Below are 27,816 nucleotides of genomic sequence, written 5' to 3' on the forward strand. Positions count from 1 at the left end.
ATCCGAAAAATACCTTAATGAGAAGATAAAGTGTGTTTGTAAATTTGAATGACATGCAGCACTTAACTGCATATGGAACCATCATTTACAATTCTTAAATGCAATTAAAAAGCAGTGGACCATGTGCTTTTCATCTTTTATGATAAAAACAGTAGTGTACATTCAACAGCGGCAAAAGTTAAATCACCCCACACTAAATCTTTCTGCTGATGGTTTTTTCTTTAACCTAGTGAAAACACTTCAAAGGTTATGTCTTCTTCTGAAAGATGAATATTCAGAATACTATGTCTGACATGAAGATCTGGAAAGAGTATGTCTAAAGTGATATTCTGTTTTGTGTGAATTCAGGGCCAACCCCAGGGTATAAACAAACAGCCAGCCCCAGTCATTGTATGAGCCTTCAAGAATTCTTTTTCAAATAACATCTGTTTAAAACAAATATAGAGAACCATTTTGAAGGAAGATGGACACAGCCAAACTGGAGGAAATATTCCAAACAGACAATGTAGAGTCTGTTGGAGAGTTAAATAGGAGAAGATTGGCCCCATCTGGTTAATGTTGATGATAATATACGTATTTACACACTCATTGAAGAACATATTTGGGACTTTTTACCACTACATCGTCTCCTTTTCTTCTTGCCTACTACCTCTTTGAGGCTTCTTGATCCCTAAAGCAGGTGCCACTCAAAGCACAAGACTTAGATCCACCTCTCTAATCCATTATACCCTGCGGTTGGCTTTGTGTACTTCCCTTAAGAAAAATATCTCTAACTCCCTGTTTCTTGAGCTGTATCTGGGTTTTTATATACATGTCTAAAATATCAGATGTTATTGTTTTACCACAACATTACCCAAAGATCATCTAAAATTCTTTGTTGATTTTCCCATAGGACTTTTTCAACGAGCAATAGCTCAAAGTGGAACAGCCCTTTCCAGCTGGGCTGTTAGTTTTCAACCTGCAAAATATGCTAGAATGTTGGCCACAAAAGTTGGTTGCAATGTTTCAGATACAGTAGAGTTAGTGGAATGCCTACAGAAGAAGCCTTACAAAGAACTTGTTGACCAAGATATTCAACCAGCTCGATACCACATAGCCTTTGGACCTGTGATTGATGGTGATGTAATACCAGACGACCCCCAGATATTGATGGAGCAAGGAGAGTTTCTCAACTATGATATAATGTTAGGAGTGAACCAAGGGGAAGGGTTAAAATTTGTTGAAAATATAGTAGATAGCGATGATGGTATATCAGCTAGTGATTTTGACTTTGCTGTTTCAAATTTTGTTGATAATTTATATGGATATCCTGAAGGCAAAGATGTTTTGAGAGAAACCATTAAGTTCATGTATACTGACTGGGCTGACCGTCATAACCCTGAAACCAGAAGAAAGACATTACTGGCTTTGTTTACGGACCATCAGTGGGTGGCACCAGCTGTAGCCACAGCGGATCTTCACTCAAACTTTGGTTCACCTACGTACTTCTATGCCTTTTACCATCATTGCCAAACAGATCAGGTTCCAGCTTGGGCTGATGCAGCCCACGGAGACGAGGTTCCCTATGTACTGGGAATCCCCATGATTGGCCCTACAGAGTTATTTCCTTGCAATTTCTCCAAAAATGATGTGATGCTGAGTGCAGTTGTAATGACATACTGGACAAATTTTGCTAAAACTGGGTATGTACCTAAGGAATGAAGTTTATTTTTAATAAAAATGTTATTTTAACCATTTTAAAATAATAGATATTTATGCCCAGATAATGTCATATTGGATTAATACCTGCAAGATATTACATTCCTTTATTCAAAATTAATTCTATATTATGGTGTTTTTAAAAGTCATTGCTTTATTATTTCTGGTGTTTTAGAAGCTTGTTAAGAAAGCACATATCTCAATTGCATTACTTAATTACATCTGCTTTTGGTTTTTGAATTATACAAGACTTGTTATTGTTCAGCAGTAATAAATATTATTTTATAGTGCTTTGTCATTCACAACACTCTTTAATCCTTCCAACTACCTTTCTGAATCTCGCAGATCAGGTACTATTAATCCCACTTTACAAGAAGGAGACCTGAGGCTCTGTGAGTGTCATAGAGATGTTCACATGTCTGGTATATAGCAGAGCCTAGGCTCAAACCTTCATCTGCTAATTTAAAATCAAAAATCCTTTCCACTATTCCATGTCATCTCTGCTAGCTTGCCTATGAGACAACTCATACGTATGTGAGTATTTAAATAATTCTTTAAAATCTTTGGGTAGATAGCAGCCCATCTCAGGATAAGCAGAGAGAACAAGAATGTGAGACTTACTTGCCTTCCATTATCACCCATCTAACAATATGCCTGCTAGGAGATTTATATTTCTAAATTGACCCAAATTAATGTTAAAACACAATCTAAAGCATTGCTGAGTCATCTATTTAATTATTAGATGTTAAAGTAGTGTGATTTTAAGTAAAAAATAAAATAGCTTTATTCTCATAATTTATCTTTTCCTTCTTAGTGACCCAAATCAACCAGTCCCTCAAGACACGAAATTCATTCATACCAAACCCAACCGTTTTGAAGAAGTAGCATGGACCAGATATTCCCAGAAAGACCAACTTTATCTCCATATTGGATTAAAACCAAGAGTTAAAGAACATTACAGAGCCAATAAGGTGAACCTCTGGTTGGAGTTGGTACCTCATCTGCATAATCTCAATGACATTTCTCAGTATACCTCTACAACAACTAAAGTGCCATCAACTGACATCACTTTCAGACCTACGAGAAAAAATTCTGTACCTGTCACGTCAGCCTTTCCCACTGCCAAGCAGGATGATCCCAAACAACAACCAAGTCCATTTTCAGTGGATCAAAGGGACTACTCAACAGAGCTGAGTGTCACTATTGCAGTTGGAGCATCACTGCTGTTTCTGAACATCTTGGCCTTTGCAGCCCTGTACTACAAAAAGGATAAGAGGAGACATGATGTTCACAGGAGATGCAGCCCTCAGCGCACTACTACCAATGATCTAACCCATGCACAAGAAGAGGAAATCATGTCCCTCCAAATGAAGCACACTGATTTGGATCATGAATGTGAGTCCATTCATCCACATGAGGTGGTTCTTCGGACCGCCTGTCCCCCAGATTACACACTAGCTATGAGGAGGTCACCTGATGATGTTCCCTTAATGACACCCAACACCATTACAATGATTCCCAACACTATACCAGGGATTCAGCCCTTACACACATTCAATACATTTACTGGAGGACAGAACAATACTCTGCCCCATCCCCATCCCCACCCCCATTCACATTCAACAACCAGGGTATAGCCAGATAAGAGAAACAAACTATTTTTTTTGATGGATTGCAGTAAACGATCACTGAAGATTCCTTGGCTTTCAACCTACAAGACTTACTATTTAAATAAGGAGGAATATTATGTGAATATACATATCAAGAACTTTGGGGGTTTTGAAAAAAATGAATTGTATATATACAAATCAACTTTAAAAACAAATTTCAATTGCTTGAAGCAATTGTTCTGAATGATACTTTTTCATTCACATTCAAGAATTAATTTTTTGAAGATTTAAGTTACATAATGGAATTAGGCATGTGGAACACCAAACAGGAAAGAACTATGTCTGAAATATAAAAAATAAAAATAAAAAAACAACTATGAATATGCACAAGGGACACACCAGTGGAATGTCAGATAATTTTCACCAGTTTTTATTTGGAGCCGTTTTATTGTGTAGACCATATTTACATATTTGGATAAGTACACAAAGCGTCAATGCTGTTAATGGCCTTAGCAAAGGCTCATGCTGAAATTTGCCAGTAAAACAAAGAAGTTTAAAGACTGGCAGGTACACCATTATCACATAAGTGCTGTCAGTATAAAGTTGTGGGGATAAAGGAAACTGGATATTTTTAGCACGATGTGCATGATAATTTATATGCTTGGTGGCTGTGCTGCTGATTAAGCCGTAATTAAAATTCTTCTCATCCCATTGGAGTTTTTAATAGAAGCTTCCTCCATCAATTGGCAGAACCTAAAGAAGATTTTAAGGGGCAAAAGTAATTACAATAAAATAATTCACAGTAGTTTCAATATAGAAGGAATTAGCTATTAAAGGTATTTGAAGAAACTATAGGTATAGTGGTGAATACTCGCTGATATGAATCCCAGAAAAAAATTTCCTGTTTTTAATGTTCTTTTCAATCCCATCTAGATAATTTATAGAAATATAACCCTAATTGGACATGTGGTACAGGATCTATAAGTTGCTGTGTTTTTTTGTTACTCTGTATTTTGTTCCTTTTGGTAAGGTGAAGTGTGTCCAAAGAGTTACTTGCAACAGTCTTTCATGATATGAGGATGCCCCCGTATTACCACTCTGATTATAGTTCTGAGTTCTTTGATTTACTCATGCTGCATGACAAAATGTTTACTAATAACAATTCATTATAAAGTTATATCCCTCTTTACATCACTTATCTTTCTCACTGAGGTTCATTCACTGGAATTTACTCACGCAATCTCAGTAGAGTACAACGTAGATACAGAACCTAGGAGAGTCAACATCTGGAGGATTTTAGTCTTTCTTACACATATGTGTGATTTTAAACGAATATTCTCAGACCACAGGAAACTCTTCATCCCCCTGTTGTTTACCAGTAACAGTATATCACAGACCTTTCCAAATGTTTGTATATGTAATCAGATGTACATTTATATTGAAAAACAAATGAGATGGACTTAAAGAGCACATCCTGATAAATACTTTCTCTCTCACCTGTACTATATTTCTATTAGACTAAAGTTATGTGATTTTTTTTTTACATTTTTTCAGATGACTAGCAATTTTGATAGTTTATAAGATAATGCAAAGAACTTTCTCTGACAAACTAACTGCAGTAACAGAAACCTTTCTTTTCAGTTACTCTTTTTCAAGAATGAAAGATTATTATACAAAAAATTGTATACTACTTGATGGAACCAACTTTGTACATCTTGGCCATGTCACTGGTCATTGTGTGAAATAAAGATAATCTGGATAATGACTATTAGTCCAATGCTAAGAAACATGATCTTTGCTCATTAAAGAGCTAAAATGTTTATTGCTGTTTTGTCTTTCTTTTTTCTAAAAAAAGAAAAAAAAGAAAAAAAGGAAAAGAAGAACAAAGAAACATGACTGTCTCAAAGAGTAATTTTTCTAGATTAGACCAGTCAGGTTTTTGAAGACATATAGGTAACTTCCACAGAAAACACAAACATGTATTTAAAGGCAAGTCTCATCTAAGATGAAACTCATAAAAATTATTTAATGTTTGTTATGAATTTAAAAGCTCCAGAAATCCATGAAAAAAAGAAAGATTAGCTTTGTGTTGTTAAATATCTCTTAGGTACAGATGTTGTAGAAATAAAGTGCCAATTGTTTTCAGTTAGTTAGAAAAACAAGTTCCAATTCTAGTCATCAAGGAAAAGGTCTATTGAAAAGAAATTTGCAATATTTCATGGAATACAAATAACTAGGTTCATAAAATGGGGGTGATTAAACTACCATAAAGTAATGAATAGAAAGTTGCCATGCTAAGAGAATGTAAAAGTGCTGAGCAAGATATTAAACTGACACTAAAAGATAAAAATCTATTTCAAGGAATTTATGTGATTATAATCCCCCCTCCCAATTATTATCTATCAAAGAAATGTAGGTATTCCTCCATAATTAAAAAAAAGTCTCTGTTAGAAGCAAAAGTCTTCAAAATCCAGAGTGATCTACATACAGCTTTTGACTGAGGTGGTTATGCTTTTCAACTGTGAACTGCCAGTGTACACAAATACAAATAATTGTTTAGCATCTGAAGTATTGTTCAATTGGAACACTGTATTTTACTGTATTAATTAAACAAAACACAAGAACAGAATAGAAATGACAACAAAATAAGATATGAATGAATACTTTCATATGCATTGCTTCATTTGGCAAAACCAAACATTCTATTAAATAGTATGTTTTAACGATGGCCATATTTATATCATCTACCTACCAATCTATTGCTCTGCATTTATCAATCTGCCTATATATAGCATAACTGTCACCCTCTTTATATTAATTTAGGAAAATGATTGAGGAAAACAAAGCATAGCCCTATTAATTATTTTCTCTAAATTAGGGTAGAATAACTTTATGGAAGATAAAGCAGCCTAGGTTTAATTGTTGTTCACCAGTCACGTGATAAAGTCATTGTGAATGAGTGTTAGTTGCTAGTTTTATAATTGCAGTCTCTAGTTTCTGAATGAAAAAGGATGCCCCACATTATACAGAACATTAAGAACTGTTTTTAAAGCTGAAACATAATCTTTATATGCAAGAAAAATAAATACTGTTACTCAATTTTAGCAAATATGTTTAAAATGTATTTATTTAGATAATTTTCTTTGAAAAACAATGTAAGTAACAAAATTAAAATAATATTTTTGGCATTATTTGTTAATTCAGATTTTCCTGCCTCCGATTAAAAATTAGGCAAAGCTGCTTATAATTTATACAAAGATTACACTAAAATGAACTTTATTTCATTGTTTTGCTGTTATATAAAATTTTTACCAAATGTTTACCAAGAGATTAATGTTTTAGAGTATGAGGATAGAAAAATAAAAGTGACAGATTTCATAGTTTTAAATCTCTACTGAACATGTTGACTATGAACAAAATCTAATTGGCTACCACAGATATATAACAAAGTTTATTACTAACTTTATGCAAATTGGAAAATAATTTGCTAAAGCATTAAAAATGTCAGATTTGTAGACGTCTTGCTGGCAACTCAAAGCAGAAAATCTGAGTATATATTATTTTATTCCTCATTTCAAATATAAAAGTTGACCAAAGTGATGCTTTATTTCCGACTTCCTGATCTGTATGTGAAAACAGCAACATTTTTTTAAAAATTATCAAGTATATATAATATTAAAAAGAGGAAAACAGATGGCACTAATTTTCTTACAGGAGTGAAGTGCTGAAACTAAATTGTTACATCTGTAACAACAGTTATTTCACCTCTTGCCACACTCATCCTGACATACGTATTAATATCAAAAAATGATACAAAGAATATGAGAAATGTGTTCCAGCATTAAAGACACTACTACATAGAAATTACTGGGATTCTTTTCTTTGGCGAGTTTCACTGAAATAGTTTCACAGGATGAAATGATGAATTGAATTCTTAAGAAGCTGTCAAATATGGCAGTCTTTTGATGTTAGTAATTTTGTTTTCTTCTGTGTTATTGGTTCAAAGTACTGGCCTTTTCCTTCATTTCCAGTAATTAGTTGTTATAGACTATCACTTTTTAATGTGAGTGGAAATTAGATGATTTGGTTATACTTGTGAAAACATGCTTCCAAATAAATTCAATTAATGGGCACTTCCCTGCTGAGATTTTGTTATCATTCATTTGATTATCTTGTCAAGCTTTACTGTTACGACAAATGTTTTAGCTTTCTGGTCAATAGACTAAGGGAATTTCTCCAGTAGCCTTATACCTCTCCTGCACTTGATCTGATAGCAACATACACTTCAAATTTCCATCAGAAGTCTCTAAAGAAATTTCCTACTGCTATGAAACATTTGGTGGCCAACTTGATTCTTTTTCATAAGCATTCTGATTTGATTTTATTCTGGCACGTTGCTGTATTTGGATGCAGGCCAGAAATCAATTCCATTTGATAAGGGTTGTGGAGAATACAGACTGGAATAACCGTGTGCAGGGCTTAAGTGCCTTTTCCTCCTGAGATTTTATTTATAAAACTTAGCTTTTTTAAATTTTCAGATTCAGATAATTCAATTTAAAGAGTACAATAGGATGACTATATTATAAATTACCAATAAAGAAAGTTTATTTGGACATTTTTACATTTAATTTGATTTTTAAAATAATATCAGATGCATCTAAATGGCTTCCGGGAAAGACTGAGGTAAATTTTTGAAAGTGACAATTATATAGGCATCTGACTTGATGGTACTTAAGAATAAAAATTTAAATCTCTAGCAAACTTTAAAAATTGTCCAAATAGTAAGTTTAATTTGAAAGAAGTCTGAAGCTATTAGAGAAAATCATGTACTAGATAGGTATATATTTTTTTCTAGTCAGCTATTACGTACACCACATAATATATATACCCTATATACTATATGGTTTATATAACATTTATAATGGCCCTTTCAGACCCATATACTTACAAATGACATTGTATAACTACCTACATATGTATTAATGTGACAGAATTTAGTCCTTTATGGAAAGTCAAACCAAATTGCTAGCAGTTTTGAGTTGAAATGAATGATAACAATTAAAGCTTTTAAGAAATTGGTAAAGGTACCGTAACAAAAACTCAGCAGATAAATTTAAAAGAGAGGGACCATTTTTGAATGCCATTTTCAGAGTTGACATCTAAACTAGATGGTGTGTTTAAAAGGATTTTAGTGGTTTTGATTCATCCTTTCTCTGCATTCATATCATTTAGCAAATTAATGGGACATATGTCATGGTTTTTGTAAAAAAGACCATTGGGTTGTCATGATTCAGTTTGTGTTTGGACATCTATGGCTTTCATTAAAAACGTGTTTATTATCATGAATAAATATTACCATGTTTTCCAAGTTGTGTTGACTATTTTTAAACTCAGAAATAATTTCTTCTCTATTTGTCTCACACAAAAAGGTTACTAAGATAAGTGTTTTCTTACAAAGTCTTTGTATTGCTTCCACACTGCTGACAGTTCTGACTTGATAGAAACAATGACATTTTATGATCTTTTCACCTCTTGGTGAATGCAGGGCAAGAATTTAGAGAATAGATTTGGGGAGCTGGACACAACTTTTCAGAAAAGAGAGAGGAAAGTGGGAGAAGGAAAAAGAAAAGAATGGAAAAAGGAGGAAGTGAGAGAGAACAAAAAGGAAGAAAAACTTCTCAATTTTAAATTAATGACTTTTTGCATCCAAATAGTGCTTTAAATAGAGATGTGTGACAGTTTTTTAAAAAGAAGGGCAAAGGAATTTAAATAAATCCCTTTAAATCATAAATCTATTATTCTTAGAGAACAAAATTAATAATATCTAGGAAGATATCTTAAATTTAATTCTTGATCCAAGTCTTGATCAAATCATGTCACTGGAAACAATTAAAAATAAAATCTATACTGAAATATTTATGGTTTTGTACTATCTAATCAATAATGATATTGGTAGGAAGACTATGGGAAGTAAGATAATCTCTCATCTGTATATAGCCCAAGATAAGAATACAGCAAAGAGGACATCATATAATTTCCTCATACATAGCCTAAAGATAAATGTTTCCAATGGCTGAATAAAAGAATTAGCATTGCTTTACAAGTCTCTGTGGTCACATATGGCCATGGGCACCTAATAAATTAAACAGTTAAAAAACATATTCTAACAATTTCACTTTCCATAAAAGGGTTTTGATGTTTTGTAAAATTTGGTGTTGTTTGATATGATTACTTTTTCACTAGTTTTGTATTTCCTTATGGTTTGTAGGATGTTATTTCTGAGTTCAAAAAAAGTTTCAAATATACTCGTGAATGTTCATGTGAAAGCAGTATTTTCTAATGGAATGCTATAATTTGAAGTACTGTCTCAATTTTGGAGAGTTGATTGACTATCTAGTTAAAACTTTTCTATCTCCCCTGAAAATACTCAACTTTGCTCTCAGAGCTGCCTTCCTCTGCACTACAGGGGATCTTCTTACCAGTCACTGTGGCTCCTGTTTCCATGGCCTATCCTATTACTAGTTATGACCTCTTCTCCAAGGGGGTAAAGTTGTGCTGAAAGTCTTAAAAGGTGATCTAACCAACTGGTGCCTTGGGAATTGGCTTCCTCTGCTCCTCAGGCAGGTTAGAAGCTAGTGAACATCAATCAAGCAATGAAAGAAATTAGTCATTTCTTCTTTCAACAAATGTTGTCTACTATGGGTTAGGCAACATAATGGGTGTTAAACACGTGGCCAATTCTATGACTTACTAACATACAACTATTGTCAAGTTTGGAATAGGTCCAAACACATGGACTGATTTAGACCACTTTCTATGCTATACTCTGTAGCAAATCACTGTACAATTCCTTGTTTTGTCTATTTCACATGTCTCAAAATAGTAAATACAAATCAATATTTCTTGAGTTCAAAAAAAATTAGTGAATTCTATTGAGCCAGTTCACCAGTTAAGGTATGTAGCAGACATCTTTCCAAATAATAAATACAGCCTATCTGAAGTCATGCTATAGTATGCCAATTCAAATTTCATGGAATATGAAATTTCCAGCATAAATCTCATCTGATCCAGCCCCATAAGTGGTTCCTTAATCCTTTGCCACAACCTCAACATGTAATTGTGAAGCCTATCATTGAACACTGCCATGGGTCTGAATTCTAAAACAGCTGGCTGCATTTTGGACTATTTGGGATGTCTTCTTTATATTGATTTCTTGCTCTTTTTTTTTCTTTTTATAGCCACACCGTCTTCATCGCCTGAATTGATCTCAAATATTTAAAGATGGCTTTCATATCTTCCATGAGTTATTTTCTCCTGAAAGCAAAAAATCCCACTTGAAATACAAAATAGTTCAGTCTTTTCACAATTCTAATCACTGTTCTCCAAATTTGCTCCCAAGCCTAAGTTTCTTAGAAAGTTTAATGTCTAGGATTGACCATAATAAACACTTACGTATAGTTCATCTCTGCCTAACAGAGCTCCACTATCAACTTCCTCATTACACAAAGTATATTTATTTTAATATAACTTGCAATACTATTACATTCTTTGTTGGCCATAGCATACTAGTAATTCAGATTGAGATGTACTTTCTACTAAAACTTTAAAAATTCTAAATGCACTATTGTTAAGCAAATTCTGTCTTTCTACTGCCCTTGATCATTTGAGTTTTATTGTATGTTCAGGATATTAAATACTATTAAATTCTACCTCATTAGGTACAGCACTACAGCCTATGGAGACCTATCTATCCACCTCAGAGTAAGGAAATCAACAAAGATGATAAACTTCTATCTTCATCCAAGTCACTAACAAAAACTACCATGCAGAATCAGGTTGAGGATAAATCTCCAGAATAATAGTAATAGAGACAGTGTGTAAAGTACTGACAAAAGCAAAAGATGACAATTACTAAGCCCTTTTATGTTCCAGATTCTGTATCACACTCCACAACAAACTCCCACATACCACCCTCGAAATATCTACTAATACTTGTTGATGTGCTTATTCACTAATTCGTTGTTTAAAAGATTATTATTAAGCATCTATTATATATGAGTTACTGAGCTACTTGTTAATGATAGAAAAGTGAATAAAATGTGGCTCCGTTTCTCACATTACTAGCAGCCAACTGATTACTCTTCCTCTTTTCTACACACACAGCACAAAAGACACAATCAGATGTATTTGCAGGATATATTTTTTTCCCATGTAAAACATTTGCCTGACATCATAGTCATCTTTAGTAAGAAAACTGGGATAATTACTCTAAACTTTCTATTTGGGAATTTCTGGGTTCCTGGTGCATTATATTAAATGTTAGAAGATATAGAAAAATAATTCTCACACCAATCACCTGTCATAATTAAGATGTGAATTTAGGCCAGTCAAGTGTTGTCTTAAAGTGGGATTCCTTGTATGAAAAAGTAATACATACATAAGATAAAACAAAATATTTTAAAGTGAAAAGTAAACATCTCTCTTACTACAGATTCTAATCCCTTAGTCTTTTTCCCCAGAGACATTGACTCTCACCAATTTGCATATAAATCTCTACAAATATGTCATTCATGTGTAAACATGTAAAAGTGTATTGTCTGTGTATGTACGTGGGGGCACTTTATATATATATATGTATGTATATATATGTGTATATATATATGTATGTATATATATGTGTATATATATATATGTATATATATATATATACATATATATTCTTTTTTTAAATTTATCTGGAAATGTTCCATGTGAGGATACTACATGTCAGCTCTGAGGAGAAAATAGAAGATAAAAGTAAGTTTCAAATTTCTCCTTAAATTCACGGCTATTCCAATCAAAATTTCAACACTGTTTGTTTGTTTACAGACTTTAGGTGAGTAAGGGTCAGGAATAGCCAAGATTATTTTGAATCAAAAGAATCAGCAGCAAAGACTTTGTCTACCGTATTTCATGAGTTACTATAAAGCTATTGTAATCAAAACAGTGTTATATCAATTCAGAGACAGACCAGTGTAGGATAACATTGAACCCATAAACAGATCTATGAAGAAAGGGGAACATGGCATATAAATGGAAATACAAATCAAGAGAAAAGAGAGATGCCTCAGCTAACAATATCCCTATGTCATACTAGACACAAAAATCAATCCCAGACAAATTAAAAATATAAACATAAAAGCACATTTTAAATGTCTCAGAATACATAGGAAAACATTGTCATGTCCTCGAAATAGGGAAGAATTTATTAACAAGACATAAAACAGCATAAACAATAAAGAAAACGAATAACAAGTTAAAATTAAAATGTTAATACATCAGATAATGAGTTTTTTTAAATGACTATAAGCACATATTGAAAGTAAGTATTTGCAACACATATAAGCAATGAAAGATTAATTAATATGAGTGGATAGAAAATTCCTGTAGTTTAAATAAGGAAAGGACAAATTCACAAGGAAAATAGAGCTGATTAAATACTGGGAATAAAGGACATGTCTGTTTTTTCCCTGTTGCTGATTCTCACAAAAATGTAAGGAGAGGACTGAAAAATATATAAACTTATCAGAACAAAAAGAATAGAAAAAGAGATAACAGGTAAGAAGTTCTGACAAGTTTTTGAGAGAGAGAAATTAGATAAACTAAAAAACCTTAAGAATATAATACAACCTATGAAATAGCAACATAAATCAGAATTAGAAAAGTTAAAAGATGCTTTAATAAAACTCAAGAAAGAATTATAAATAAAAGAAAAAATAATTTTTTAAATTAAGACTAAATTAAAGGAAATGCAGACCAAAGAATGCTTTAAGAGACATAGAAAAATTTTCAAAAAGAAATGGGAATAAATAGTAAAAAGTAGAAAAAATCTAAAAAGTTTCAAAAAAGAAGGAATAGGGGATGTGAGCTGAGGGGGAGAGGAAGGGAGAAATAAGAAAAAAAATCAAGCATAAGTGATAAGAAGATAGAAAAAGAAGACTCAATATGCATGTATATGGAACCTTCGAAAAAGAAAACCAAAACAAGGAAACACAACAAATACAATGAAAGCTGTAATTCAGGAAATCTTTTACAATACAACAGAAAAAAATTTGATGTCACATTTTCAAAAGGCACACTGAATATATGAAATAACTGATCAAAAATGACCAACATCAAGACATATGCTAATAAGTTTAATGACTATCAAAGAAATAATATAAGCATTCACATCTAGCTAAAATCACCAAATCTCTTAAAATGAAGACTCTTTTGTTATATAATTAGATCATCATCAGACTTCAAAGACAACGCTTTATGCCAGTAAAAATTAAAGTAACATACAAAAGATAAGACGTTAGAATGTAAGCAAGTTATTTTTATATTCAGCCATAAGCTAACTTTCCTACAAGTATGAAGGGCATGGACAAACTGTTATTGGCATTAAAGAACTCAGGGAATATTGTTACCATGAACGCCTCCTGAGAAATTTACCAGAAAAAGACCTGTAGACAAACAGAAGGGTGACATGGATATAAGGACTGATAATGGGCACTAAATACCAGAGAGCTAACACTAAATGAGGGCTATATGGTGGAGTACAGTATAAACTTGTTACATGTTCTGATAATGAAGACACGGTACAGCTATAAGAAATATGAAGGTAATAGAAAAATCATAGGTAAAAATTGTCATTACTTTCAATAATCATATTTACAGTGGTAGCAGTGCTGTTGCTACTCTGAAACTGCTTTATGTGTAACACAGAATACAGCAAAGAGGGATATTGTGATATGCTAATTGTATCATCTCCACCGTCTTTGAGAACCAGCACTCTTAATGTGGAAGAAAGGATATTCTGAATCAGAGTAGAAGAGGTTAAGTAAAAACCCACCTTATTGTTTCGATTTTAAAGTGTAACTATCAGAATGAACACTTTAAAAAAAGTTATGCAAACTATGATCAAGCTAGTAGCAATGAGCATCCTTAAGGACCAGATTGTGGTTTTAAAAGAACATTTCTTACTGTAAAAAATTCACCACGCACACAAACACACATAGAAATAGAGGTCTGGGGAACAAACCATAGAAGGTGAACCTGGAACATTTTGTCAAAGACTTCTAGGAATATATCTAAAGGACAGAGGAACCAATACAAAGATGATCTCACTATCTAAAGATACGACAGTGTGAGCATCAATAAGGATAATTTCAATTAATTGAAAATAAATCCAATTTAAATTCTAAAGTGAATAATAATTAAAAAGAAAACATCTACCACTTATGGCAGATAATTGGAATATAATTCATTGTTTTGAAAATTCATAAGTAAAAAGAACAGTTAAATATTTTGTCCTGCCATTCCTCCACCAACTATACAGCAAGGTAGCCAAATGGTAGATGAGAATTTACTCTTTGTAGAAGTTATTTCAGCTAATAAAAGAAGGAATTGTTGTATTATAATTTCAGTTGTCACTTGTTTTATTGCTCCCAATGAATCAGTGGATCTAGGTATTAAGCATCACAAAATTAGAAATAATGAGTTATCATGTGTCTCCTGGATAGATGTACACAAGATTACCTCAGAAAAGGCTTGCACCCAAAACCAAACCTGTGTATGATGGAAGTCTCTAGGTTCAACTGTCAGAAAATACATAGGTACAGGAAGTACATCAAAGAAGCATGTTAAATTATACCATGGATATGAAATCAGAAAAATTCACACGATTTAAAATTTTCCCAGTTTAATTTTCTTGTATCCTCAATAAATAAATTGCAAGAAAAAAAACACAGTGAGAAAATATGTAGATTTTTAAAAACTTACAAATACTTTTTAAAAAAGTTCTGCTTCAGGAAGAACGATTCAGTAATAAAATTATAAAGGACAGCAAGATGGGGTAACCTAAAATAGTGTTGATAGATCACAGAGGAAATAAGCTGTGACTGAGATGGTGCATGTGGAGGTTTTTTTTGCAGTGGCTTGCAAAGTGCTATCTCTTAATCTGGGTGTTTTTTACCTGAGCCTTTTCCTTATGATGATGTTTTAAACCAAACATTTACTTCATGATGTTTTTCTGTACCTGGATTATATTTTACAATAAAATAAATAGGATTGTAATAAAATTAATAATACACGACAATGTTGCAGACTTAAAGAACATGAGTTTATTAATTGAAAGGACCCGCCAACTGCCCAGTGTAATGGATGAAAAAAACACCTGTGAAAGCATACCATCACAAAATGTCATGACTTCAGAAAAAAGAAGAAAAGTTTCAAAGCTTCCTCAGAGGAACAAAAGGAATTCTCAACGTCAGCTCTGGAAGCTAGAAGAAATTGGATAATATTTTTGAGAAAGAATTATGATCAACCTATAGAATTTTATATTCAAACAAAATATAAGTTCACTGTATCAGTCCACAAAGGCATAGATTCAGGGGTGAGAGGAAATAAAAAACCAGGATTGCTGCTCAGGAGACTAGAGAACAGCTCAGAGTGTGAAGCTGGGGAGTTGTAGAAAGAATATCTATACAATAAAATTAAAACTGACGTATTTCATCATGTGGAAAAAAGTGTTATTTGTATAGATTTTACAATTTTTTTTGCTAAATTTGGAAAGAACATAGAAAACTACACAACAAAATCAAAACTATTAATGCAGAGAAAAAGAGAAAGTACTACAAGAAATGGAATGTAATCTTTGGATATATATTTGTGCACATGAATGTAAGTACAGATAATTCTTCCAAATAGAAAGTTTGGAAAAAGCATATTTTAAGGTTTTTATCTACCAATTTACTAATTGATTTAAAAAGATGTTATTCAAATTTACATTCCACAAACAGTGTATTAAAGTATCTATTTCCCTACCCTCTAACCAAAAATCAGTGTATCAATTTTTTATATTTTCCATTTCAATATAAATGTAATATCATTATTGTATTAATTTGCATGTTTAAATTGAGGTAAAACATCTTTTCTTATGCTTATAAGCCATTGTATTTCTTTTTATATTAGATGTATTCCTTTACTTTGTATATTTTTTCTATTCGTTTATTAATCTCTTCTTATGAAATTATAAGAGTTCTCTATAGACAAATAAAATCAGTACTTTTGGTCATGTGTGTTGTAAATAATTTTGCTCAACTTTTCTTTGAATTTTATGTTATTTTGTGCTAGGCAGAAAATTTTTTCTTGTGTTCAATTATTGAAATATATCAGTGTTTCCTTTGTGTTTTTTCTGAGTTTTGTTTCTTGCATACAAAGACCTTCCCCATTTCAATACTTATTTTAATTCATTCATTTTTTTTTCTGTATGGACAGCCTCATTGTTTATAGTTAAATCTTTGATCCACCTAAAAGGTACATTGAGATAACTAGTAAGAAGGGGATTGAGGTTTATTTTTTTCCCAGATAAGGTTTTAATACAATTCAGACCTGACTTAAGTGGATTGTGTTTTATTGTAAAGCTGAGGACTTTTTATTTTCAGCTACTGAAATCTGTAAGACTGTAGAAGAGCAGGATGCTAGCCAAGCCACATAAGGTTTATTACTACTTCTAACCATCTTCTTACATGCTTACAACTAAGACCTGCCCTCTTAGTATGTGACACCCAATTCCAAACACTATCCCAAAGAGTAAAATTATCCAGCCAGTGAAAGGAAGGCTCTCTGACTTACAAAAACAATCTGTACATATATTTACATCAACAGATCATATTTTTAAAAAAACTCAACACTAAAATAGCTTAAGAATAACAAGTTTTCTCGGCCCTATAATCAAAAGACAATCAATGGAAAGAAAATAACTATGATGGTAAGTGTATATTGATCTAGGTTGGAGTCAAAAAAGGGCAACAACAACAGAAGTATACCTTCACCTGCACCTGGACTCACAGACCTAAACCAAATGCCTCACAGATGCTGTCATAAGATTGCCAGTGATTTCCACCAAGTAACGTACATGAAAGACTACAGTAGTTGTCTTGGCATTTTAAAAATACCCTACTTGGTGGTCTTGGGTTGCTTCCCAGCTTGTATAGTAATAGAATAGGCAGTCCTCTGATTCTTTTTTTTTTTTTTTTTTGGTTGCTTAGAAAGTTCTAATTTAAGTGTTTGCATCATTTCTTCATCCGTTGTCCAAGATTTCTACTGCATCTGTGGTTTTCTGGTCATCATTTTTTGAGACAGGCTCTTGGGGCTTATACTCTGCTACATGAATTATTTATGTACATTTTTGCTCTAATCCTTAAAGGGCCTAGGAACAAGAAAAAAATGTTTAAAATGTAATAAAAGGCTCCACATTACAGTTGAATATTTTAACAGAAACTATTTTTGTTCAGATTCCTATGAAGGCTTTTAGCAAAGATAAATGAGCTTATGCCATAAAGCTATGCATGTTTTGAAAAGTGATAAAAGGTTAATTGGGTACCGTGTAAGCAAGAGTTTATATCGAGAAACCCTTTAGTTAGTTGGTGGTCAAGTATATTTAACAAATGTTTATATATCTTATGTCTATATCAAGTTGCCATTCTACACGAAGACTACACAGTGTTCTTAGAAACAAAACAAAAGAGCTTAGCAATGTGTGGACAGTTTTCAATAAAAAATTTGGGAGGAGTTGGGTGAGGGATGAGTTAGAAGGAGAGAACTGAGCTGTCTAGCAGACGTGAAAAGATGTGTTAAAGAAGACGATCTGTAAGTATTTTTGCCTCTGGCAAACAAAAGCTGCCTTCAATAATAAGCGCATATGTTTGTTTCAAGGACTATAAAACCATGAAAAAGATTAAGGGCCCTAGTAATTAGGGCTGAAGCTGAAAGAATTATTATTTGCAGAGAAAAACCTTAGGAGGGAAGAAGGAGTCCTGAAGATAACATTGATCAGTAAGAGTAAATCTTGACAATTTCCTCTGGAATTTTCCACAGTCCCAATCCCATGTTAAACTACATTTTCTTCTCACCAAATACCAAGAAATATAAAACTATAGATTTATATACATGTAGCATGGAGGGAACTACGCTCTCCTACCAGGAAATATACCCTTCGTTCTTTGCTATGTAGACCAGCAGTACGGTAAAGTGGAGTGGCAATTTGAAGTTCCTGAGATTTTTTATTCTCTTATAAGAATTCAGCCTTAAAGATCTTGGCCAAATCAAATAATCACACTTTTGTATATCAGAAAAGAAGATCTATCAAGTTGCATTTGCCCAACTAAGGTGACTTAATTACAAAGGCAACCTTCCACCTAGTTTTGTCTGCACTAGCCTCTATGCAAAAATAACATTTCACTGCAAATCCAGTGTTTCCTGTTTACCTTCATCACTTCTGCTCTCCACAGCCCCCAATCTTTCTTTTCTTACTTGCAAACTTTTCCTGTCCTTTCTCTTTGCATTCACCACCTAGCCTTTCTTAAGGTATAGCCTTTAGCTTTACTCCTGAGTGTGTTTTCATCACTGTTGAGTGTGTTTTCATCACTGTCCTCTGTAGCACTCATGAAAATTTCTTGTGGTAAAATCTCTCTCAATTAGACTAGATTTGAGGAATATCCTTCCCATGTGCCCCATATCTATTTCATATGGATTCTTCTCTTCATTAATCCCCACTGCCATTTCATACTTTCAAACCCTCATCCACTCTTACCTAGATGTTAAAATAGCCTCCTACCAGGTCTCAAAAATCCTGTATGACCCAGCTGCTGTTTGCACCCAATTCCTTATTCTCTTCCTATGTAGCCTGGACTCCAACAACAAAGAAACTGCCTAGAGTTCCTCAAATGCATTGTGATCTTGATCTCCCTGTTCTGGGTATATGCATGGATTTCTTTATTTTCCCTCTCTTTCCTTGGCCAACTCAAAGTAACCCCTCAGGACAGGACTCAGCTAAGATGACGTCTCTGCTTGGGTAGCCCTCTCTGCTTTTTGTGACTCCTAGGCTACATAAAATCTTGACTCTCTTTTTTTTCTGCCACAATATAAATCACATTTTATTTTAATTATCTGTTTCTCAGTACCCCCTCAAGGCTACAAACTCCTTGAAGTCAGGAACTATCTCATTTGCTGTTATTCTCTCTATGCCCACGGCTCAGTTCATATTTGGAGGAAAAAAGTGGCATGTAGAGTTTCTAAAAATATCTTGACTTTGCTACCCCCATGATTTTTCTCATGCTATTCTTTTTGCCTAAATTTTATCCTTTCCAATTTATTCTCTCCCCAGCCCTATGTGCATGCCTTAGTCTATTAAATCCTACTTATTTTTCCACCAGTTTCAGGTGTCTCTTCTATGAGAATTCCCTCATGATACCCACTAGAACCGATCTGAATTCCCACTCTTCTATATCCTAATCATGTAGCATGAATCACTCACTGCTTTGTAATATGCTCAATCTCTGTTTTTACTCCCACACTAGATGGATTGAAAACTAGAAACTATGTTTTAAAATCTTTGTATTTCTCATGTTATCTATCACAGTGTTTTGCAGAGTTGGTGGTTAATATATACCGAATGAATTATTGTGAAATAATTTCTCAAAGCTATGAACTTCTCTGTGTTTTATCAAGAAAATGTTCAGTCATAGCACGTTTTCCCCCTTGTGAATCTCTTCATCTTTCCTATTCCAACAAGGAAGTATATGATCTATTTCTACATATTTCCCTTGGAGCACTGCAGCAGAAATCTTTCTGAAGATGAGGTGGGAGCAATAGAGATGCGTGAATAATTCTGTTTGGTATAGGTGAAATTGTAATTGGAATTCACATCTCTTCTGCTGCTGTTTCAAAGTCTCAAAGATCTCCAGGAGGAACTCTTTTCTCCTCTACCTAATAGCAATGTGGAGATATATGTCATTTTTTACATTCTTTTCTCTCATCACCAACATGACCAAAGCCCTACCTCCCATCCTTAGAGACCTTAGCTCAAGTAAGACATTATTTGTGACGTCTTCTCTAGTTTCTCTAAGCTGAAAACATTCACTTCCAGCCCTGCATACACATAGTATTATATCTATATCTCTATGACAGTCAACTCTCTCGGCCTCATGTTTCAGTAAACATTTATGTCCAAGTCTTGTTCCCCTTCCAGAGTATAAGTTCCCAGAGGGCAAAATTTGTTCCTGGTTTCTCTATTTCCTTTTACCCATAGAAAAGTACATCCTTTTCTATGTACATATGTGTTCTCTCACTTATATATATGTTAAATGGTATACAACATATACATAAACAATATGTAGTCTGGGTGCAGTGGCTCATGCCTGTAACCCCAGTGCTTTGGGAGGCCGAGGAGGGAGGATTGCTTGAGGCCAGGGGTTCAAGACTAGCCTGGGTAACCTAGAAAGACCCTTCTTCTCCAAAAAAAAATTTTTTAATTAGCTGGGCTTGGTGAGGTGCGCCTGTAGTTCAGTCCTAGCTATTTGGGAGACTGAGGCAACAGGATTGCTTGAACCCAGGAGTCTGATGTTACCATGAGCTATATTCAGGCCACTGCGTGCCAACCTGGGCAGCAGAATGAGACCTTGCCTCTAAAGGCAAAAAGAGAGAATATGTATATAAATATGGTATATACATGTAGTACCCCTATTTATATCTTTGGAGTGGAACTAGTATCTATATTAAGCCAGTCTGTTCAACTGTAAAAGTGATAATATGAGATTGATTGATTGATGCTATTAGAGCCTAGATTATTGTACCAACTTATTTTAGTACCATTATCCTCCCTCCTAAATTGTAACAAAATGCTCAAATAGAATTTTGGTTCTATGTCTTAGATAGCCCTTCTTCCCAAAGACTTCCCTGATCCCTCAAGATTTTATATAGTTTTCATCATAATTTCAGAGCCATAATTATAGCATATTGTAGCTACTCACTTATTTGACTGCTTTGTCCTTGATTTCCTTGAGGGCATGGACTGCATCATAATATTGACTTTTGTGTTTACACTGCTTAGGAAGACAGCTATGGTAGACAGAATAATACCACCACTGCCCTTCAAAGATGTCCGCATTCTAAACCCTGGAACTTGTGCGTATATTATCTAACATGGAAGAAATGACTTCAGATGCCATTGTTAAGAATATTGAAATGGAGAAACTATCCTGGATTATCCAGGTGGGCCCTAAATGTAATCACAAGGGGTCTTATAAGTGAACGAGAAGCAAGAGAGTCAAAGTTGAAGAAGGTTATATAACTACAAAAGCACAGGTTGGAAGAATGTGTTGCTAGTTTTAAAGATGGAAGGGGTCTGGCATGGTGGCTCATGCCTGTAATCCCAGCACTTTGGGAGGCCAAGGTGGGTGGATCATGAGGTCAGGAGTTTGAGACCAGCCTGGCCAACAATGCTGAAACCCCGTTTCTACTAAAGATACAAAAAATTAGCTGGGCGTGATGGTGCGCACCTATAATCCCAGCTACTCGGGAGGCTGAAGCAGGAGAATCACTTGAACCCAGGAGGCAGAGGTTGCAGTGAGCCGAGATTGCGCCATTGCACTCCAGCCTGGGTGACAGGGCAAGACTCTGTCTCTAAATAAATAAATAAATAAGATGGAAGAGAGCTATAAGTCAATGAATGTGAGTAACACCTAGAAAGTGGAAAAGGCAAGAAAATGGAGTTCCCTCTTGAGCCTTCAGAAGGGAAGCAGCTCTGCCAGCACCTTGATTTTAACCAGTGAGATTCATTTTGGACTTCTGACCTCCAGAAGTGTAAGATAATAAATGTGTTGTTCTAATCTCATGGTAATATACCAGCAATAGAAAACTGACACAACCATCAACACATGGCATGTGCTCCATAAACATCTGTTCAATTAAAGAACCATTAGATATTAGGCCTGAAAAATATCTGATAGAATTAATGGTTGTATGTAACTATTGAGGGTGATCCTGAGGGAGAAGTACAGGTAAAGAAAAATTACATATTTCCTACCTGAAGGTGGGCCTGAAAAAAATGTGTAGGAAACACACACAGAGAGAGAGAGGGAGAATGAAAGAGAGAGAGAAACTCTAATTTTCTGGCTTAGATAATAGGAATGGATTTTTCTGGAATGGATAATAGGAAATATATAAAGAATATACTTATATACTCCTAATTTTGGACATGTTTGATAATAGGGTCTCTATGGAACAACTGGGTAGAGGCAATGTAGGAGACAATAGAAATTTTGACTCAGGAAATCAGGGGACATACAGTGTAACCCAGTAGCCTTGATATATGAGGTTAGAACAGAAAATAGCTGGAGATAAGACTAGAAAGGCAGTGTGATGTTTCTTAAATGCCAAGGGAAGCCAAACCCAATGCTTTAGAAAGAGGTTGAGAAGAAAATTGAGGGTATTTGAGCTGGAAAAAATGTAATCAAGCTGATGCTTTAAGATTAATCTGGCAACCTTAAATAAAATGGATTGGTAAAAAGGAGGACAAAGCCAGAAACACCATTTAGACTTTAGAGATTACTTTCAAAGACTATCTCGTTTGATCCTCACAGCAATTTCATGAGGCAGGTAAGACAAAGCATTATCAAAGCCTATTTTTGTATCATCATAATTCCACTTGTATCATATTGATGACTAGTTTAATCTACATTTAAAGCATTACATACAATTTGTAATAGACTTAACTTTTTACTGTTCTAATCAGTGTATTAAGATGCTTGGTCAAATTTCTTGCCCCTAGTGTTCAGAGATCATTTGTTAAAAGAAAATCAGGGCCGGGCGCGGTGGCTCACGCCTGTAATCCCAGCACTTTGGGAGGCCGAGGCGGGCGGATCACGAGGTCAGGAAATCGAGACCATCACGGCTAAAACGGTGAAACCCCGTCTCTACTAAAAATACAAAAAATTAGCTGGGCGTAGTGGCGGGCGCCTGTAGTCCCAGCTACTCTGGAGGCTGAGGCAGGAGAATGGCGTGAACCCGGGAGGCGGAGCTTGCAGTGAGCCGAGATCCCGCCACTGCACTCCAGCCTGGGCGACAGAGCGAGACTCCGTCTCAAAAAAAAAAAAAAAAAAAAAAAAAAGAAAATCAGGAGAAATGAAGAAAATAAATGGAATTTATTCATACAAATAGTTCAATCCTTGCATTACCAAATTGTCCTGAGAAGGGAAAAATAATATTTTATTATTATCAAATGGAATAAACATTATTTCTGTAAATTGAGTTTGATCAGATACTTTCATCAGAAATAGTCATTGTTATGATGGAGCCACATTTGTCCAAACTTATTAACCAATAAAAGGCATTTGGATAAACCACTGCCAACCTTCTGCAGAAGTTCTCTCACAAAGAACTTTGAGATTTCAATATTGAATCTAATATCCATCTGACAAGCCTTTAAAAGCACAGAGCTTAAAAATCATATACTATGATGAAAGAGTCCCTGGGGCTAAATTTAGGGGCCAGCAAATCACCAGGAATGATTTGGTCAGAACAAGAGAAAGATAACTGGGAGAGTAGTCAGGTAAATCAGGTTAGGAGCTCAAGATTTCTCACCATTACTATTCCCAATTTAATTCTCTCCCTTTGATTTATGGGAGGCTTCTCTGAAGCATTTATGTGAATAATTCAGCACTTAGAGACACGAGATACAACGTAGGTCTATCTTCATATAGATTAAAACTGGTTCTACAGCTGATGTCACTGATTTCAAGCTCATCTTGGGGTTCACTTTTGACTTAGTATTTGGTTTTCTAAATCACTAATCCAGGTAAGAACACTATTATTTTAGACAAGTTTATTATTGGCAATGTATTTTTTCAAAATATGAATATTAGCAATTATTTAGGGGATTTCAGTATTTTAGTAACCGAGAAATGGCCAATATGACTAAAACCTTATTGCTAAAAGCATGATTTGTGGACCAGCAGCGTCAGCAAACTGAAAGCTTATTGGAGAAGAAGAATGTACAGACCTCCCATGAACCTACTAAATCAGAATCTGCATTTTCACAAGATCCCCAGATGCACATTGCAACTTGAGAAGATTGGATCTGAATTACAAACATTTCAGAAATTGCTTTAATTTTACTTCTTCAAAACTCTCTCAGCCAACGTTTCTTTGACATCATAAAAGTTCCAAGCCTCTCCAAATTTCTTATTTATTTTCCTTCTTTGATCAGTTTTCACTATCCTAAATAGCCAATCATCTGAAGGGTTTTCAGGCTCCTCATGCTGGAACACAGTGATTGAATGCATGTGAGGGCTTATTCTTCTCACAAAACAAACTTCTTGCTTGACTATACACATGCCACATTGCCTTTATTCCAGCTTAGTTTGACTTTGTTTAAATTTATACAAATCTTAATAAAGAAGGGAGAGGGTGCACAGTTGACAGAAAGAATGAATTGGGATGAGTGAAATGCATTACAGCTCAGTATTTATTTCTCTCTGGTTCCACCTCATGGGTAATAATTTCAATTACCGTGTGTATGATTTTAACCAATTTATGTTAACTAGACATTCATTCATGGAAAACAGAGAAACTGTGCAATTTAATAAATCACTTTCAATTTAACTCTCTGAATTTTCTCACTCAGAGATGGCTTTGGTGTAGCATTTCCTCACAAGTAGAGAAGGGAAGCAGAAGTCTCTTCTGTAGTGATGTCTCTTTAAAAAAAAAAAAAAAAAAGGCCATCAGTTTGTTCTTCAGGGAGTGTAGGAAAGTTGGAGCTGGCATGGAATCTCCCTGAGGCCATCCCGCCCTGTCTACCTAGATTGTCCACTTGTCCTGATCCTGTTTGTTGCCTCCCACATCCACATCATTGACCTCTCCATCACCAGGTTACTCATTGAAATCATTCATGTCATCCATGTCCTGCATGTGCTCATCCTCCATTCTTTACTATCCTCCTCATCTTCATAGTCCTCCCCCTCATTCTCATGGTGCTTTGAGCCTGGCTCAGGCAACAGGTTGTTGTCTTTCTCTGTGAAGCTACAGGTCTCATGCTGCTGTTCCTGCTGCTGCAGCTCTGTCTCCTCTACACAGGTTCAATATAGATTTAAATCACAATGTATCAGTCACTTCTGAGGCAGGAGTGAGGGGAACAAGGTGGACATGGCTTCTAGATTATTGACTGAACTTGGCCAAGTCGCTTAACCTCTCCAAACCTGAGTTTCATCATCGTGCCGGGAGGCAGCAGCTTGCAGTAATATCTTAGGCTATGGAGTATGCATGGTAGCAGGATGACAATAGGAATGAGTTGTTTTCAGTTTCCTGCAAGGCTATTCACTCTCAGCCTAGATGTTAGACACAAGGGAACTGGTGTGTACATACATAGAGATTTAGGAGACCTCAGTTCCAGTCCTGGCTTTACTACCATTTGCAACCCTTTGCCAGCCACACGTTTTTAGATGATCATTTAGCTTATCTAAGCCTCTATTTCCTAGGTGAGAAGGGAATCTTCACTTATATTCAATGTCTAATATGTATCACATACTGATATGGTTAGGCTTTGTGTCCTTACCCAAATCTCCCCTTGAATTGTAATTCCCATAATCCCCACATGTCAAGGGAGAGACCAGGTGGAGGTAATTGAACCCTGGGGGTCACGGCCTTGTGAAGAAGGTGCCTTGCTTCCTCTTTGCCTTCTGCCATGATTGTAAGTTTCCTGAGCCCTACCCAGTCATGCTGAACTGTGAGTCAATTAAACCTCTTTCCTGTATAATTTACCCAGTCTCAAGCAGTTGTTTATAGCAGTATGAAAATGAGCTAATATACATACCTTTTCATGCTTATATCAGACATTCTTCCTGGCAATTCTATAGGACTAACATTTACTTTTTAATAATGAGAAAATTGGTGCTTATAGAGGTTAAAAAAAGTTTCCTAAGATCTCATAACCTGCAAGCAGTTGAGCAAGAATGCAAAGTCAGGTCTGTCTGGCTCCAAAGTCCTTTTATTTGTTTTTCCTCTAGACCAATGCAATCTGCTGTGTACTGAATGTCGTAAAGTTCCAAGGAATTAATGAATGTAAAATAACTGTTGATAAAAGCAAAACACTTGTTTTAGCCCCTTTGTGCTGTTACAATACTTCTAGCATGTGTCCTCAAGAGACACGGTCTGAGCCAAACCTGAGCCTGCTTGAACCATGGCTGAGGCAGCCAATGAGTGCTGCTCTGGCATGCAGGGAGAAGAGACTTAAGGTGGCCCAGGGCAGTGAGTGCTAAGATTTTAAGGTAGCCTGAGGTACACCTCCCTTAAAACTGTTCTGCTCTCAAGGCCCTAGCAGTCTGGGCCTGTGATGGGAGTGGAAACCTCAAATATCTCTGAATATTTGGGGTCATTCTTCCATTTTCTTGATGAATAACATCTGACCTCCCTCTATCCATACTAATCTATTCATTAAATGCTTGCTTGGCCACACCCTTGGCTTTCTCTACCAAGCAAGCTTTTTTATTTTTCAAATGTGAAGGCTGAGAATTTTCCAAATGTTTACATTCAGCTTTCTGTTTGATTACAAATTCTATCTTTAATTTGATTCTCTCTTCTCTCATTTTACTATAAGCAGTCAAAAGAAACCACATAGCACCCTGAACACTTTGCTTACAGATTTCTTCTGCAAATATCCTAGTTCACTACTTTTACGTTCTGCCTTCCACAAAGCTGTAAGACAGGCATGGACAAAATTCAGCCAAGTTCTTGTCACTTTGTATTAAGAATAGCCTTTCCTCCAGTTTCCAAGATAGTTCTCATTTCCATCTAAGACCTCATCAGAATGGCCTTTACTATTCATATCACTATCAGCATTCTATTTACAACTACTTAGATAATTACTTGGAAGATTTAGACTTTCTCTACATCTCTCCTCTTCTTCTAACCCCTCACCAGAATCACCCTTATTGCTCCATTTACTGTAATCTAGGCTTTTTCTAGCATGCACTTCCAAACTCTTCCAGCCTCTACCCATTACCCAGTTCTAAAGTGCTTCCACATTTTCAGGTATTTGTTATGGAAACACCTTCTTCTCTGGCATTATTGTTATTATCTTGAGAAGAAGTCTCACTCTGTGGCCCAGGCTAGAGTGCAGTGGCACGATCTCAACTTACTGCAACCTCTGCCTCCTGGGTTCAAGTGATTCTCCTGCCTCAGCCTCCCGAGTAGCTGGGATTACAGGCACATGCCACCATGCCTGGCTAAATATTCTATTTTTAGTAGAGATGGGATTTTGCCATGTTGGCCAAGCTGGTCTCGAACTACTGACCTCGGGTGATCTGCCTGCCTCGGCCTCCTGAAGTGCTGGGATTACAGGCGTAAGCCACCGCACCCAGCTCTGGTATTAATTTTTGTCTTAGTCAAAAGTAATTGTTATGTTTGTGCTGTTATGATAAAATACCACAGACTGGGTAATTTATAAAGAATAAAAATGCATTTCTCATAGTTCTGGAGGAATGAGAATTCCAAGATCAAGGCACTGACAGATTAGTCTCTGATGAAGGCCTGTTTCTCACGGATGCCACTATCTAGGTGTCCTCACATGGCAGAAAGGATGGAAGGGGGAAAGGGGACACAAACACATATTCTCCCATGGTGGAAGAGCAGAAGAGAGGAAACTCATTCC

General features: G+C 35.1%; 1 protein-coding gene and 1 pseudogene across 36 annotated transcripts in view; one reads left to right on the plus strand and one right to left on the minus strand.

Annotated features, from left to right (window-relative positions):
• Positions 1 to 16,404, plus strand: part of NLGN1 (neuroligin 1) — an 898,421-nt gene extending 882,017 nt beyond the window's left edge. For all 36 annotated transcript variants that reach the window (XM_017005893.2, XM_047447706.1, NM_001365924.2 and 33 more), the window contains 2 exons: positions 893 to 1,682; positions 2,513 to 16,404. In XM_017005893.2, the coding sequence (XP_016861382.1) occupies positions 893 to 1,682; positions 2,513 to 3,335 (1,613 nt within the window). In that variant the 3' untranslated portion in view covers positions 3,336 to 16,404. The remainder of the gene's footprint in view (positions 1 to 892; positions 1,683 to 2,512) is intronic.
• Positions 24,969 to 25,315, minus strand: ANAPC15P2 (ANAPC15 pseudogene 2; annotated as a pseudogene).

This window comes from Homo sapiens, chromosome 3, assembly GCF_000001405.40.
Source record: "Homo sapiens chromosome 3, GRCh38.p14 Primary Assembly".
NCBI lineage: Eukaryota > Metazoa > Chordata > Mammalia > Primates > Hominidae > Homo > Homo sapiens.